At 42.5% G+C, this 18,605-nt stretch overlaps 1 long non-coding RNA gene across 1 annotated transcript; it reads right to left on the reverse strand.

Annotated features, from left to right (window-relative positions):
- Positions 1 to 84: 84 nt before the first annotated feature.
- Positions 85 to 13,467, reverse strand: LINC02183 (long intergenic non-protein coding RNA 2183). The gene is made up of 3 exons (XR_933595.3): positions 13,435 to 13,467; positions 10,396 to 10,564; positions 85 to 522 (listed from the first exon to the last, which is right to left on the reverse strand). It is a non-coding gene; the product is annotated as a long intergenic non-protein coding RNA 2183 (long non-coding RNA).
- Between the last annotated feature and the right edge of the window lie 5,138 nt (positions 13,468 to 18,605).

Here is an 18,605-nt window from a genome sequence, read left to right on the forward strand (position 1 = left end):
CTTTTAAACTCAAGATGAACAGAATCTCAAACCCACACTCCCCTTGTAGGAACCTGGCAGAGTGTCTGGCTTGTCACATCCCACTTGTCTGACGTATACCTGGATTTTCTGTTTTGTTTTGTTTTGAAAGTCTACTTCTCCAAAATGCCTAATCTTGATATTTTGACCCTCATTTGTCTCCCCAAACCAGTCCTTCATTTGCCTGCAGACACAGCCCTTCTCATCAGTCCCTTTCATTTCCCACTGACACTTGCTCTCGATGCTCTTTGCAGAAAAAAAAAAAATGTGTGCTGTGAACGCAGTTTGACATTTCCTGACATTTCATGAACTAATTACACTACAAATAATTAAGCATGTTCACATCTGTAACAAACGAAGGCAAAATGGTTGTCAGCGGGCGTGATTGATGACTTCCCTGAGATTTGATCTGATGAGATTCTCCCCATCGTGGGCAGAAGCCCGACGCCACGGTGTTTGCAATCATGCCTTCAGCCCTTTTCATGAGATCACACCGACGAGATGCTTGAAGAAAAGGATGGGAAAATTAATGACTACATTGAAATATTTGCATTTTTCCAGGGCTGGAAAAAACAATGAACAAGAGATGTGACAACCTCAATTATCTGGTGGTGCTAAGAGCTCGGAGACAGCTCCTGCTGAAGAGAGCTGTTGGGAAGCCCGGGGGTGTCAGCCTGGCTGGAAAAATGGCAGGTGACAAGGACAACATTTTTTTTACGCTACATAGGCCCACAGAAGCTCAGCTAAAAAGACAAATTGCAGGAGTAATTTCTTATGGAGGGGGAAATTTGTCAGCATTTAAGCTTGTTCTTCCACAAAGGTTGGACTGGGGTTTGAAAATAAGCTGGGAAAGCAGACAAAGGAATGCAATCTGATATCTGCCAATCGATTCAACTGCCAGTGGCTGGGTCTTCTTTGTTTAACATGGTTTGGGGCTTTCTGTGTAGGCTGCACACTGTACGGAACCGAACACTTCCTGCCCACTGGGAAGTCATTTGGAAGGGACCCCGGTCTGCTGGAGACTTAATCTGGCTTTTTCCAAAGCCAGCTCCAGCCCGTTTTCTGGGCAAATTTCCCTACTGAAGTTGCCCAAACAAATGGATTTATCATCACACACGATGCCAGCAAAGAGGCTCCAGGAGCCAGAATGCAAGCATAAAATAAAATAAATGCCTTTGGATAAGGGAGATGGCAAAGCATCTCTCTCTGTTGAGGTCTTTGCCAATGACACCCTGGCAACCCAAAATGGCAACATGGAGTTTTTGAAGATTAATTTTTAAAGTGCAAAGCACATTCCATTCTATGAAGTCCTCCCACAATTTTAATTTCTCAATGTATTTGTCTGTTGTTTTTAAATGGAATAAACAAGTCAATTTACAATCCAATTAACTGTCTGCAATTTTGGCTATAGCAATCCCTCAAGTTACAATTGGCCACACAGGGACATCTGTGTTGCCTTGATCACATAGGATGTATAGAGCTACCACTTTGTTGGATACCTACTGTGTGCTGAACACTGTGTGAGGTGCTTTACATATATTATATCTATTCTCTTCACTGCAACCCTGCAAGGTAGATACTGTTATCTCCATACAGATGAGAAAACTGAGGTTCAGAGAGGTTAAGTGACTTGCCCAAAGTCACACAGCTGTTATGTGGCAGAGAGTGGATTCAAACCTAGATCTGTTTGGCACCAAGGCTTAGGCGATCCTCTACTCCCTGCTCTTTGGGTCATCATCACTTAGATTCCGGGTAGGTCAATCAAGTTCATTCGTTCCTCTCAGGGCTGGTGCCCACGTCAATAGGATAGATGATTCATTGTCCTCTGAGAGGACCCATTGCCCTCTCCCCAGCCCCCAGCCACTCTCGGATTGAAATGAGCATCTTCTCCATTACTGGCCTCCAAACGCGTCCCGTGTCCTGCCCCCAATCCATTAGTGAGATGGAACTTTCTATCTGCACAAGAAAGAAATCAGCCTGCAGGTTTGTGGGGGTCCCTGACTCTTAAAAATCAAAATATTCCCAGCCCAGGGGCCTCAAGGCAAAAGTCAGTTATATCCCTTTATGCCTTAAAGGAATTTGGGCTTCAACTTTGCCGTTTTGTGTTTGAATTCTACAGGGAAGGTGGGTCTATGATCACACATTCTTTTTCTCTTAAAATCGGTGCTTAAATAGGCTTTCTAGCTTATTGCTCAAGGCAGTGCGGGGAAGCACAGATTAAACATAGTGGTGTGAGTCTTGGGTGAAGTACCAGGATTTGGAGGATGGATTTCAGTGTTTTTAAATTACTAGATCATAGTGTAGATTTAAAGCTTGAGCTGTAGCCTTTCTCCTCCTCTGGTATCAAAACTCGAATGTTTATCCACAATTTGCCCAGGTTTGGCGTTTAAAACAGCATCATTGTTGGTTGTAGTCACAATAAATCTGAGCATTTTTGACCTTCATTCCACAACTTGACTTCAATATCTGCTAATTCCTTTTTATAAAACAAATTGCATCAATCACGTTCGCATTTAACCAACTGCAGCTTAAATTGTTTTTGTTCTCTTTCATAAGTTCTTTCTCCAGATTAAATGCTGTTGCGCCGAACGAACTGCTCTCGGCTGAAGTGGGAAAGCATGATTCGATTAGTATAGATTCTGGAATCGGGTAAGTACTGTATCAGTGTCCTCTCTAGAAAAGAGGTGACATGTCTTGGGATATTAAGAATGGCCATTTAATGTAAAAACTCAGATAATACATGAGTTAAATGGAGAAAATGAGAGAAAGCTTTTAAGCATTCTCCCAAGACGGATTGCAGAATAATATTATTGTACACGGAAGCGGGGATGATCGGCACCGTCAGGAGGCTATTATAGAAGTGGGGTTTAAAATCATTATGGCAAAAAGCATTTCAGAGCTGCAGCGTGAGAGCGGCAACACATAATGAATTATCAATAGAGAACTGGTGATTCAGTTATATTACAATATGAACAGAAAACTTCCTGTTGCCTAATTTTAATCTGCCATGCTGATAAATGACTTGAGGATGGAGCCCCATCTCCTTTGTGAGAAGAGGGGAGGGGAGTGGGAGTTGGAGGAATGGATGCCAGAATGTTCTTTTAAATTAAGTAGTATCTGAACCAAGGATTCAGCCAATACCCTCAATTTATTAAATAACCCAAGTTTCATGAGTCGCTTGAAAGGCACCTATTTCAAAGGTGCTGAACTAGAGGCACTACAAAATCATCTTTAATTCCAACAAAACTGTATTTACAAAAGCAGCAGCCAGCCCATCACCATTTGCTGATTTGATTTTTTGAAACTGTATTCAACTTCTGTTTTTCTTGATTACTGAGGTTAGGGGCATGCCCTTGAATTTTGCTCCTCAGCTGAGTGTCTCAGTAACCTCACTCTAGCCTCTGCCCTGCTGCCTATAAATACTGCAAGATAGACCAGATTAACCCTAATTCACAGCCTAGGAAGCTGTGGTTTAGAGAGAAAGATTCAGAATTCAGGTTCTCTCTTTTTAAATGGTGGAGTTGAGATTCAAATCTAGCCTGTCTGACTCAAAATCCCAGCAACTCTCTACCTGACCAAGCTCTATCTCTTTCAATCTCTCTCTCTCTCAATCTCTCCCCACCTCTTTGTATGTGTGTATAAATCTTTCCTAGCCAGTATCACCATCCCAATGATAGAGTTTATATATATGCGTGCGTGTGTGTGTGTGTATGTGTATATATATATATATATACACACACACACACAAACACACACACACACGCATGCATATATATATATGAGATGAGGCCTCACTCTGTTGCCCAGGCTGGAGTGCAGTGGTGCTATCACAGCTCACTGTAGTCCTCTAACTCCTGAGTCAAGCCATCCTCTCGCCTCAGCCTCCCAAGTAGCTAGGACTACAGGTGGATGGCACCATGCCTGGATAATTTTTTTAAAAATAGAGATAGAGTCTTGCTATATTGCCCAGGCTGGTCTTGAATTCTTGGCCTCAAGTGATCCTTCCACCTCAGCCTCCCAAAGTGCTGGGATTACAGGCATGAGCCATAGCCCTCAGCCAGATAGGGTTCTTTATATAAAGTTCCAAAATGTTATTTGCTTACTAATTCTGGGACACATGAGTTATTTGGCTAGTTCACTTCTAAAAACTATTTGATATTTATCAAGAGGAAACGTGTTACATTAACTTACAAGACTTGAGGCACCCATTTGTACTGGCACCTGAAAAGCTTCACTTTATTTATTTTTTTTAATTTATTTTATTTATTTATTTATTTTTTTGAGATGGAGTTTCGCTCCGTCGCCCAGGCTGGAGTGCAGTGGCACGATCTCGGCTTACTGCAACCTCTGCCTCCCGGGTTCAAACAAGTCTCCTGCCTCAGCTTCCTGAGTAGCTGGGATTGCCATGCCCGGCTAATTTTTGTATTTTTAGTAGAGATGGGGTTTCACCATGTTGTCCAGCCTGGTCTCAAACTCCTGACCTCAAGTGATCCTCCTGCCTCAGCTTCCCAAAGTGCTGGCGTGAGCCACCGTGCCCTAACAGAAAGGTTCACTTTAAAAGGCACTCCCCACCAGTGTAAGAATGCTATTTTCATGATGGTTCATGAAAGGACCAAAACTTGGTAGGAATGGTTGGCCCCAGGGATGAGTACTGGTTAACTAGGGACAAAAAGGAACTTACTTTTCACTGCATACCCTGTTGTGCTTTTGCATTTTGTACCACAGGTATAAAATCACTTTTTTATTTTTTTTGAGGCAGGCTCTTGCTCTGTCTCCCCGCTGGAGTGCAGTGAAATTAGCTATTTACAAAACAAAACAAAAGTTTGGGGACGGCATGGATTGACAGACTTCTCATGCCCTGTTCACATCTGACCTGAAACACTCCTCCTAGGAAATAAATCATAACCATGGCCATTGTCAATGTCAGCAAAAGCAAAACATGGGAGACAACCAGCAAGAAAAGAATAGGCTGGTACGTTGCAGAACGTTATGCAGCTATCAAGAAGATCAACTAGGTCCATAGGCATTGGTGTGGAAAGATCCTGAAGATAAATTGCTCACTTTTTTAAAAGTCAAGAGTTATGATAGTGTGTATTGTGTGATCTCAATTATTTTGAAAGGATATATACATAATTATACGTGTATATATGTATATTCACATGTGTTTATCTATATATATGTTTTGCATGGTGGTATGTACACAGAAAAATATTAGAGGCCTAATAAGAATCTGGTGAAACTGGTAATCACTAGAGGGAGGGACTGGGAGTCTCAGATGGAAGAAAGTCTGAAATGTTCTCTACACCCTTTAATATTTTTCAAATTTTTACTATGAGCAGGTGTCATTTTATTATAAAATTTTAAGCCTCTGGTAATTTTATTTCATAATTATACCTTTCCATATTATCTAAGTGTTGTAGAATAAACATATCTAATTTATATTCTAAAATGGTATTTTAAAATGTTATAGTCTGTAACAACTAATGAAGAAGTACCTTGTACAGATTTTTTAAAATAACAACTCTAGGCTGGGCACAGTGGCTCATGCCTGCAATCCCAACACTTTGGGAGGCCCAGGCAGGAGAATTGCTTGAGGCCAGGAGTTTCAGACCAGCCTGGACAACGTCGCAAGATCTCATCGCTACAAAAAGCAATTAGCTGGGCATAGTGGTGCACACCTGTAGTTCCAGTTACTCGGGAGGCTGAGGCAGGAGGATCAATTGAGCCTGGAAGGTTGAGTCTGCTGGGAGCCATGATCATGCCACTGCACTGCAGCCTGGTCATCAGAGTGAGACCCTGTCTCAAAAGAGAGAAACAATAGCTCTATTGAGATACACTTCATGTATCATAAAAGTAACCTATTTAAAGTGTACAATTCAGTAGTTGTTACTATTTTAGGAGAGTTATGCAATCACGGCAATTTGATTTTAGAATGGTTTCGTCCCCTCAAAAAGAAATCTGGTACTCATTAGCAGTCACCCCAGTTCCCTGATCCTTCTCCCTTCTATAGATTTGTGTATTCTGGATGTTTCGTATAAATGGAATCACACAATATATGGTCTTTTGTGACTGGCTTATTTCACTTAGCATAATGCCTTCAAGGTTCGTCCATGATGTAGCACGCTTCAGTGCTTCATTCCTTTTTGTGGCTGCATAATATTCCATTGCATGGTTAGATCCGATTTTATTTATCCATTTATTGGTGGATGAACATCTGGTGGTTGTTTTCACTTTTTCACTGTTACGGATAATGCTGCTATGAACATGTTTTTCGGTGGAACTCCTGGGTCCTGTGGTAACTCTACATTTAACAGTTTGAGGAACCACCAAATTGTTTTCCAAAGCAGCTGCATCATCTTACAATCCAAATCCCAGTTTATTCAGACGCTAGTTGGTACTTGTTATGATCTTTTTGATTCAGATGCATTTACAAAAATAATTTAAATAATACATGAGTCCATTCTTACTGTAAAAGAGTCAGAGCAAACCATAATTCCACAGAGTTAAATAGAAAAATTCTCTTTTTCACCGTTCTCTCCATCTTGTTTCCCTCCCCAGAGGTAAGTGTGGTTTAGTGTGCATTCCTCCAGGAATTTTTTTGCACGTTGCTTCATATTTGTGCACAGGTAAATATAAGTCTCTCCTGTTTTTACATATGTGTGATCATACTACATGTACTGTTTTATGATTTTCCCTTTCCATTGTATACCGGATCTTGAAGATTGTTCAATATAATGTATAATACTTTTCAAATCATTTATGTTTTTTTTAATGCCCCTTTTTATCTCACTCAGAACACAGATTCTAGATTTGTTCAACAGAGGCTACTTGGCTTATTTTACATTATAGCAGATTGTCTAGAGGCCTGTACCCTCCTTTAAACACTTCTTTGTACCCTGGCTATTGTCCAATATTTAAAAAATTTAGTGACGATCATGGGGAAAGAGTTACTGAGAGAAAATCATGACTCTGCCATTTATAAGTTCAGTGGCTCTGAGTCTCTGTGCCTCAGTTTCCTCCTTTGTAAAATGGGGCTTAAAAATAACTCCTACTTCATAGGGCTGTTGGGAGGATTAAATGAGATAAGGGTAGAGCTTTTGGCTGTGTCTGGCATCCAGTAATGACTCCATACTGTTAGCTATATACACAGTCTAGAAACACAGGCCAGCAGAGAAGTCAGCTTCTTTAGTGCAATTCTTTCTGCCGTTAGGCTGTCTGGCTACTAAATCAGTTCCACGTGTGTTCGAGAGGGGCCCCCAGCCCAGGGAGTTAAGATCTCAGCCCTGGGGAGTTGGGTAGGGCCACAACCCTTAAGCCTTACTCTTTTGATTGAAATAAAATTGCAAAATGAATAGTAATCACAACAGCAGATCGTTACCCATTGGGTCCAAGCTGGGCCATCACGAAGGATATTGACATAGCCACAAAAATGAGCCCAGGTCCAGAGGCCAAGCCCCTGGAAGAAGCCAGTCTGAGGGAAAGAGTGAAAATTGCCATCACAATTGAAAACATCATGGCTTGCATTAAGATCCCACAATTTCTGATGCATTGCTGCTACTATTGTTCTAGAACAAAGGAGAAGATTGGTGTGTGCATCAAATTGAGTGTCTGCTGTTGAAAAAAAATGGTCAACTGGTCCTCTGTTGACACTTCTCATGCCTGGGACTTAACTGACCCTCACTTATTTTATTTTGGGCAGACTCATATATGAACAGTGATTATTGGGCCCTGTAAAGTGATCAATAAATATTTGTTGAATTGTGTAGAATCAAACGGACTTTTATTTACTCTTTAATTCCCAAAGCTAAGTGCTGGGTCCTTCGTAAACATCCCTTTGATATGCTAAAGAGACTGCAACGTTTAATGAGCTGTTAGTTTTAAACTGGACACATCAACTTGGAAAGTTTTGGATTTGCTGATGATTAATGGGCAAGAACTGGTTGGTAAATATCAGCCATGACTTTGGGGCTTGGTTGAAGAAGAGAAGAAACTGAATACAGCTCTGGCAGTCTGGACCCTTTCTTCTCTTGTGACTGATCTGAATGCAGGGTCTTGTGCACATTTGAGAGACGAATCTTCTAATGACTCATTCTGGTACTGTTGCTTCTCCTCTTGTCTTCTGTCTTCTCAGGGAAGATTCTGCTTAGCCTGATAATGCAAACCCTTTTAGGATCCCATGGGGAGCCATAAATCCACATGATTCCTACACTTTTTCATCCCTATTTCAAAACAGAATTAAATTTTATTGTTATTGTTTGATTTAAAATGGTCCTAATTCGTTTCGTTGGCTATCATGCATTAAAAATCAAAACCACTTTCCTGCTGTTTAAAAAAATACCAAGAGGAAAGAAGAAAGTTAGTGGCAAGATTGAGTTTCAATTGTTATATTTATTTGTTTGCTGTAAGATAATCAGGCTATCAATTTCACAGAACAGTGAAGACATATGTCTAAAGATGCAAGAAGAATGAGCTGAGTCATATAAATCTCATTATACATCTTAGGCAGCCTATGGAAAGAGAACGTAGTCCTCTAACAAATAGGATAGGCTAGGTTATGCTAAAGTAACAACCACAAAATCTCAGCAAAAGTTTATTTCATACTAATGCTACTTATCTAATTCATTTCAGCCAGGGACTCTGCTCATTGTAATTACTTAGAGACCTAGGCTACTTTAATTACCACAGTAGTATGAAGGGAACAAGAATTGCACTGGCTCTGAAATTTTTCTGCCCAGAAATCACTTCTGTTCACATTTTATTCGCCAAAATAAGTCACCTAGCCATGCTAACTTCAAAGGAGGCAGAGAAATGTAGTCTTTTGTTGTGTGAGCAAGGAGGACAGCTGAAAGTATTTGGTGAACAGCTAAAATGACTATCATAAATCCCAAATCTACAGAACTCAACACAGAAAAAGTCTGTGATTCCTCCAGGCAAAATGCAACCTGTATCCAGGAAAGCTGGAAGTAGGTCTCAGCCTTGTGAGCATAACTCCATGCAACTACTTTCCTATGCCAATCCCCATTTCCTCTCCTTCCTTCTCCTTCTCGGGTTTTTCATTCTCTCACCCCATCTATTCCTGAGTGTGCAAAGCACTTTTCAGCCTGGTGATCTTAACAGCCACGGGTTAGGGTGTACAAGGGAAAGGGAGCTCTGACTCACAGCAATCTGAAGTGTCTCCTACTTCAGAAATCAACAGTGTAAATATTCCAAAGCTCTTCACTGCCTCTGTGCTCCTAAAAGTTAAAACGACACACTCTAAAATCTATATCTGGCAAAGGACTGGTATTGGAATATATGAAGAACTCCTCCAACTCAAAATCAAATAGACAAGACAACCTAATGTTTTTTAAAGGACAAAAGGATTGAACAGATAGTTCACAGAAGATATGTGAATGCCCATAAACACATGAAAAAGTGCCCAACATCATTAGTTGTCAGAAAAATCTTAATTTAATGTAAATTAAAACCACACTGAGATACTACTACACAACTGCCAGAAGAGTTAAAACTAAAAAACTGACAACACTAAATGTTGGCCAGGATGTGGAGCAACTGGAACTCTCATACGTTGTTGGTGGAAAGGCAAAGTGGCCCAATCACTTTGGGGAAAGGCGCAGTGCTTTTCTTTTTTAATATATCTGAACATAACAGCCACCCTATGTCCCAGCATTCCCATCCTAGGTATTCACCCAAGAGAAATACAAGCAGATGGCCTCCAAAAGAATTGTGCAAGAATATTCATAGCAGTTTAATTCTTAATAGCCAAAAATCTGGAAATAGCCCAGGTTTTCATAAAGAGGAGAATGGATAAACAAACTGAGTTATGGTCATATAATGGAATTTGGGAATAAAAAGGAACAAACTTGATACATGTAATAACATGGATGCATCTCAAAAATATTATGTGGAATAAAAAAGCCTTACACTAAAGAGGACATACTGTATGAGTGCAAATTTTGGGAAGTTCTAAACAGGCTAAATTAATCCATGATGGACAAAAAAATCATTGGAAAAGTACTTGCTCCTGTGGTTTGGAGACAGGAATTGACCAAGAAGAGGCATGAGGAAACTTGATGGGCAGATGGTAATTATCTCTTGATAAGGGGTGTGCACTACAAAGGTATATGGATTTTTCAAAACTCATGGAGTGACAGGTTTAAGATTTATGCATGTTATGGATATAAATTTTTATCTTAAAAAAAAGCTGTAAACAAACACTAAACCCTAATGAATAATACGCAGGCTGATATGTTTAGGGTTAAAGTCAACTAATGTCTGCAACTTATTTTGAAATGTACACACACATAAATACAATGAAATAATGGATGATGGAGGATGGATGTGTGATAAAGCAAGTACATATTCTCCTTGACTTACAGTGGTTCCACTTGTGATTTTTCAACTCTTTGATGGCATGAAAGTGATCTGCATTCAGTGGAAAGCGTAACTTCATATTGTAAGTTGAGAGCTTTATGTCAGTTTTGACTTCTTTTTTGACGTATGATGGGTTTATCCAGATGTAGCGCCATCATAAGTCAAGGAGCATCTGTACAACAAAATATTAACTTCAGAATCTAGGTGCTAGGTTAAGTAGACATTCTCATATAATTCCTTCAACTGTTATGTGTGGAAGAAAGAAATCCCCATAGGTTCTGGAGCCCAATCATCCTGGACTGAGGCCAAGCTCTCTCACTTGCTGTGTGATCTTAGACAGGTTTCTAAACACATCTGGTTCTTGGTTTTCTTGATATCACCAACCTCCTGGGGTGGTTGTGAGCATTAAGCATATAAGAACCCTCATCTCCTAATACATGCCCAGGTCATCTCAGCTATTATTATTTTAACGTTATTCCTTTTGCTTCCTTTATCTGATATTCTGAGGATGAATCATTTAAGAACAGCTCTCCTGTTGTCATTCCGAAGCCCCAAATCAGAAAGATGAACCGAGATATCCCCTGTTCACCTACCAAGGTGCCTGCCCAAAACACAGGAAGTATCCAGGAAGGGTGGGTGGGGCAGAATTGATGGGGCTGCCCGGCTTATAACATCGTGGCAAACAACCTCTGAACACCTCTGGTCACTCACTGATGAGGGACTCATGTGATAATCTCGGTATAATCCAAACAAGAATTGGCTCTCTTAGCATTTCCAAGACATGAGTGCTCCAGATCTTGCAGGGAAAGGAATACCCAAACTGATGTTCCTCCATTCTTTTTCTTTTTGGAGAGGTTAGTAACCGATTCTATAGATTTCTTTAGATATATTTAGAGACAGGGTCTCCATCAGTCATCCAGGCTAGAGTGCAGAGGCATGATCACGGCTCACTGCAGCCTCCACCTCCTCAACTCAAGTGATCCTCCCACCTTGGCCTCCCAAGTAGCTGGGATACACAGGCATGTGAAACTATGTGAGGATAACTTTAAAAAAAATTTATAGAGATGCTGTCTTGCTTTGTTGCTCAGGCTGGCCTTGAATATCTGGTCTAGAGCAATCCTCCTGCCTCAGTCTCCCAAAGTGCTGGAGTACAGGTGTGAGCCACTGTGTGCAACCTAGATTTCTGATTAAAGCCCTGGTTCTCACCAGGGGAAATTTTGTTACCCATACCCCTCACTCCTCCCCAACCACTGGCAATGTCTGAAGACATTTTCAGTTGTCATGACTGAGGGAGCAGGTTTGCTCCCAGCATCTAGTTTGCAGAGGCCAGGGATGCTGTTAAACATCCTACAATGCTCAGAGCTGCCCCCCTGCCCCCCCAAAAAAAAGAATGACCTGGCCCACAATGTCAATAGGGCTGCAGTTAAGAAACCCTGGAGTAGATTGTAAAGGAAAGCTGGGCAGAGTGGCCACGTCAACATTACTTATTTGACAGTCCTTTCCTGAGCTTTCTCTGTGCCAGAGCTTGAGCTCACTTGGAAAGGGAGAGCCACAGACCCTTTCTCAATGGCAGCCATGAAGATGGGGAAGGCCACCACCAGGACATTTCTCTCCCAAGCCTCCTCCCTCCCTCCCTCCCTCTCTGCATGCTAGAAACACAATGCTGCTTTAAGATGTTCCTGGGGCAAACATCCAGAACTCTGTTTCTCTTTCACTGTTTCCAAAGCTGAAATGAGGATGCCCAAGAATGTCTTATTGATTCATGTAATAGATTTATTTAATACGCCCATTACCCTGAGGCCCAGGGGAGAGAGGGTCCAGGGGCAGCTTAGGACAATGCACATGGCCATAAAAACCACAACTACATTAAATGTAATCAAATGGCTAAAATGTGTCCCAGACCCACATTAGAGGAAGCGTGTCATAACCCTTCTGTCACAACATCAAATTTAAAAGGGGTCTCCAGAAATGGAGACTGTGACCCAGGCCAGCCGGCCATGCAGCCGCTTCCTGTGAGCTGTGATTGGAAGACCCAGAAAAGGCCTCTCTGGTCCTAATCTCTGCCACCAAGCCAAGTCATGATGCCTGGAATCCTACCATTAGATTTGTTCTTTTGGGTAAAGCATTGTTCTCTCTACTCAGTCCTCTTTTAAAGTATAAAATCATTAGAAAAAAAATGTGATTCATCAACAAATTCCCGAGGATGTGTTAAGCAGTGGTTAAATGCAGTGACTTCATTTATTATTAGTATTATTTTAGAGACAAGGTTTCTCTCTGTTGCCCAGGCTGAAGTGCAGTGGTTCAATCATAGCTCATTGCAGCCTCAAACTCCTGGGCTCAGGGGATCCTCTGGACTCAGGGAGTTCCTGAGACTACAGGCATGTGCCACCACACCTGACCAATCACTTTTTTAAAATTTTTTTGTAGAGACAAGGTTTCTCTATGTTGCCCAGGCTGGTCTTGAACTCCTGACCTCAAGTGATCCTCCTACCTCAGCCTCCCAGAGTGCTAGGATTACAGGTGTGAGCCACTGCCCCTAGCTGCAATGACTTTAAAGCCAGCTGGATTCCTCAGGTTGAGCCTGGGCTCTGTCATTCTGTAGCTGTGTAGCTTGGAATGAACCTCTCTGAGCCTCAGTTTCCTCATCTGTAAAATGGGGATGGTAATAATCCCTTCTGGCAGGTTTGCTGTGAGAATTAAATGCAAATAAAGCAAAGAAAGCAGTAAGTACAGTGCCAAACTCACAGGAAACTCTCAGTAGGATTATGAGTGTGCTAATAAGAGTGTTGATCAATGGTGGTGACTACGGAGGTGAATGAGTCTTTTTTACACTCGAATTGGAGGTCTAGCTTCACTCTAACTTGAGGTAGGAAGTTGTCAGTGATCTGGGAGATGTATAAACAGCAGTGTATTAGTCCGTTCTCTCACTGCTGTAAAGATACTACCCGAGTAGTATCGTACCCGAGTATGGATAGTTTATAAAGGAAAGAGGTTTAACCTGTTCACAGTTCCGCATGGCTGGGGAGGCCTCAGGAAACTTACAATCATGGCTGAAGGGGAAAAGGCACTTCTTACATGGCAGAAGGTGAGAGTGTGCGAGTGTGTGTCAGTGCAGGAAAAACTACCGTTTATAAAACCATCAGATCTCGCGAGAATTCACTCCCTGTCAGGGGAAAAGCATAGGGGAAACTACCCCCATGATCCAATCACTTCCCACCAGGTCTCTGCCTAAACACCTGGGGATTACAATGCGAGATGAAATTTGGGTGGGGATACAAAGCCTAATTATATCAAGCGGGGAGAAAGGCTATCAATTCAGAGGGGCAGTGTGAAGCCAAAAAGCCTTCCCAGAGGAAACTGCATTTGAACTGAGCCTTAGAGGATATGTGTGTGGCTTGGAAGGATAGGAGTGCAGGATTAAAAATCTGCCAAGATCAGGGCCCCCTGTGAGCAGAGGCCAGGGCAGGATGGCCACATTCAAGGTGCAGGGTGTTCAATAGAGGAGCGCAAAGGGCTGGAGGCAAGCTTCACATTGCTCCCAGACAGACCATGCTCTTTCAGGCTGGCAGCTGCCCATATGGGGCACTTTTTTCTAATCTGCACAGAGGCACCCTATGAGCCTTTAATCTACTTCCTGCCTGCTGAAAAAACAGCAGGGAAGTTTCTCCATATGGAACTCAGGATGGACCTGGGAAGGTTGCCTGAGGTTAGACGTGGAAGGGCCTCCAGACATGGACTTAAGTTAAGTCTAGGACCTCATGCATTAAAATGGGCCCGATTTCAATGAATGACTATTACCATCCCCATTTTACAGATGAGGAAACCAAGGCTCAGAGAGGTTTAATGACACTGAGTTCAAATCACTGCCCTGTCACTCATGAGCTGCATAACCTTGAACAAATCACTGCACCTCTCTGGGCTTTGACTACTTATTCACTAAATGGTATATAATTCCTGGTTCTTGGGAGATTTAAGGATTAAATGAGATAATCCAGGGCTTGTAGACAGCCCCGGACATGGTGACATGGTGCTGGGCACAGCACAGGTGCTGCCCAGAAGTTATCTTTAATGTTTCATGATCTAATAACAATAACCCCCATTCTGCTAAGACATGTTGATCAGGTATATTACACATTAGCAGGTATGCTAATCAGACAACTGACCTCAAGAAACAGAAGGGGAAGTGCTCTGAGTGGGACTAATAGAGTGAGTGGGATGGGGTGAGGGAGCACAGAAGGAAATGTGCGGTGGCCAGGAGGCGACGTGACGGTGCTGAGCCCACTCTTCCGGGGTGGGCCAAGCTCTGTGGTCTCCAGGGAGGATGATGCAGGGCATAGCTGGCCTTGGGACTGGGGCACAAACTCTAGGGCACAGAGAAGGTGTCTGTTCATGGTCTGCAGACAGGCAGGGACACTGGCTGCCTTGTTTACCACTGGTTTCCCAAGGCCCAGAGTTGACAAAGTGCTCCATAAATATTTGTGAATGAGTGATATGGTCTGGCCGTGTCCCCACCCAAACCTAATCTTGAATTATAGCCCCCATATATCCCCCACAGGTTGTAGGAGGGACCTGGTGGGAGGTAATTGAATCATGGGAGTGGGTTTTTCCTGTGCTGCTCTCACGATAGTGAATAAATCTCATGAGATCTGATGGTTTTATAAAGGACAGTTCTGTGCACACACTGTCTTGCCTGCCACCATGTAAGACATGCCACCTTTGCTCCTCCTTTGCCTTCCTTCATGATTGTGATGCCTCCCCAGACATGTGGAACTGTTGAGTCCATTAAACCTCTTTTTCTTTATAAATTGCTCAATCTTGGGTATGTCTTTATTAGCAGCGTGAGAACAGACTAATAGAGTGAGTGAATACGAGGATAGTATAAAAGACATATGGCAAGAGACTGCCATAAAGAGCCCCCAAACCAGATTCAGACTGCAGCCATTGTGTGGGCCTCAGGGTGCTGGTGCACAGCTGTGATGGGTGAGGTCATAAATACATGCACGTGCATGCACATACACTCTCAGACACATACATGCTCATAGAGAGACATGCATAGCCCCATGATCACACGGCACATGCAGGCATACATGCAAAGATGCTTCCCCCACATACACACATGTGTGCATGCACATTTGCAGGTATATACACATCCCTCCACACTTACACCACACACACACATACACATATTCACAGGTATACACACATTCCCTCCTCTTCTTACACACAGACACATACATCCAGAGATCTGTACACATTCACACACAGATATGCATTCACAAGTGTGCAGGCATTTGTATTAACATAGTCATATTCATAGATATAGTCAAATTTTCCCTATCTTCATATATGCAGATACATACATGCATTCACAGATCAACATACGTGTCCACATCTTCACACATACAAGTACACACCTTCCCCCACATTCACACACGTAGATGCATACATTCATAGATGGACACGTTTCCCATGTTCACAAACCCAGCCACACATTGGCAAGTATACACACATTTACACAAACACACTGACATTCATAGATATCTTCAAATCTTCTCCATCCACACACACACACAGACACACATTCACAGATATACACATGTTCTCACACTCACACAATCACACACATTCATACACATTCATCTCACATATACATACCTTCACAGATAAACACACATTCCCCCCATAGACACATTGTAAGTCTACATATATTCATAACACACTAATATTCATAGATAGATTCAAATTTCCCCATCTACATTCAGAGACACACACATATTCTCCCATATTCACACACAAGACATGCATCTATAGATGTACACACATCTCCTACATCCATGCCCACACATATTCACAGATATATACCCACTGGGACACAGACCCAGACACGCATACACAGATATACACACATTCCTCCTCATTCACAGTCACGCATGTTCACAGATAAACACATAGGTCCTCACATTCACACCCCATATACCTGCCCTGTTCTCAGCTGTTGAACAAATTCAAAGCCCTCAGTGCCTCCCAGGCTTGTCTGGAGAACCTCAGAGCTTTCTCCAGAGTGATATCTCAAGTCATATGTATCATCCATAACTATACAAGTGGGCATGCTGGTGCATTCTCCTGCCCTGCTCCAGAATGTGCTCCTGTTCCCCCAAGGGCCATGGAGAAGCCTAGGAGGCCCTGGGTGTGTGTCGGCTGTCATGTTTTTCTTTTTATCCCCTTGGCAAGCTTTTGATCGATGGCATTGGATCAAAACATATCCTCTTCCAATATTCTGCTTCTTGTGGACTGACGTTCATGATCCTCCCCCTTCAAATAAGAACCCGGTACACCCAGTCCTCTCTCCATTCACCTTAGGACTCCAAAATCCAGACAAGAAACCACCTTTTTGCACTCAATTAAAACAAGCTGCTTTAACCATAAATTAAGTTATAATGCCTGTGCCCACCAGAGGAGCCAGCAAGGTACCCCTTGCCCTTGTCATAAATTAACTCGTTGATCAAATTTTAAATGAATTATAAAAGTTGAAAATTAAATCTGGCTAAATTAGGGGCTTCCCCTGTTATTTTAATGAAGCGGAAGCCACCAGTGGCTTAGATCAGAGCTGTGACGGCCAAACGTCAGCAGCGGACTCCTTCCAGACTCCAACTTGTGCGTCTCTCCACAGCATGAGAGAGCAGATGTCTCAGTTCTTGGTTCTGGCAGTCCAACCTCGAGCCCAAGAAGTTCTAGTAAACCTGACAATGGGTTACTTCTCTGAATGTAATGGGCATAGGTAGTTTTACTTATTTATAGTTAATTCCTTAACATGGGAAAAAAATCCAATATCCACGTTTTACCATACTTTTGTATGGTACTCTGAGGTACTTTTGTATGGTAAAATGACTCCACATACCATCTCTCAGCTTCAACAAGAAAGAATGTTTGTAGAAATTAAAGCAAAGTATTGTTTTTGAGATAGGGTCTCACTCTGTTGCCCAGGCTGGAGTGCAGTGATATGAACTTGGCTCACTGCAACCTCTGCATCCTGGGTTCAAGCAATTCTCCTGACTCAGCCTCCCGAGTAACTGGGACTACAGGCACTCACCACCATGCCAGGCTAATTTTTGTATTTTAGTAGAGACAAGGTTTCACTCACCATGTTAGCCAGACTGGTCTTGAACTCCTGGTCTCAAGTGATCCACTTGCCTCAGCCTCCCAAAGTGCTAGGATTACAGACACGAACCACCACGTCCAGCCTAAAGCAATGTATTCTATACATGATCATCAATGATACCTACTTGCTAGTCTTTCCTTGGTTTTCCCATCCGTGACTTTATTGTTTCAGGGGAAGGCAAACTATGAACAAAGAAATCACTGATTAACTTTGTGTTTCAAATTAGACTCTTTCGAGTGCATAAAGAGACAATGATCAGTTGGGGAAAAGAGAAAACTTTCAAAACTTCCCCTTGTATGTCAAGAGCTAGGTTGAAGGTATGAACATGGAGTTCTAATGCACACAAAGCCTAGAGAAAATGGAGGTCATGATGTCAAAGAGGTTCCCACCTGACAGGAAGCATAAACAGCCCTTCAGTGCTTAGGGTTGACCCAGCACAGTGAGACATCATGTCCAACCTGGAGCACCATGGCCAAGGACATGGTCAAGGTGAAGAGGTCTGCTTGCCCACAGCCGGCACAATGGGGATCCCAAAATTCCCACATGTCCACATAAAGAGATGGAGAAGTCATGGGAAACAGTGAGGCAGGAGTTAAGGTCATGCAACCCCAGAGAGTGGGCTTTATGAAAAGAGGCCATGGCAGAGACCAAGAGCCTTAGCAGTGGACTCAAGCCTGATGTCTCCCAGACCAGAAGGAGTGGTCCACACCACCAGGTGTCAATACCAGATGCACAATCACCACGCACCAGGATGTAGGACCCCTCAGCAAGGTCCCAGAGAATAACCGAAGGGTCATCAGTGTCTTCTCTTGGCTGCCATGAGGCTGTGTAACCTTCCCTTGTACTCAGGCACCATATTGGAAATGACTGGGAAGGAGAGATCACTGGAGAGTGAAGAAACAGCTCTGCAGGAACCTTGAATAGGTTTCATATTTACCCAGAAGAGACTATCTTAAACCAGAAGTCACGGCAATCAATGAGAATAGAAACCCTAGGGAAAGATGAAGTCAGTTATAGAAAATACATCAAGTGACATCTGTTAATACATCTGAGT

Source organism: Homo sapiens, chromosome 16 (genome assembly GCF_000001405.40).
Source record: "Homo sapiens chromosome 16, GRCh38.p14 Primary Assembly".
Classification (NCBI taxonomy): Eukaryota; Metazoa; Chordata; class Mammalia; order Primates; family Hominidae; genus Homo; species Homo sapiens.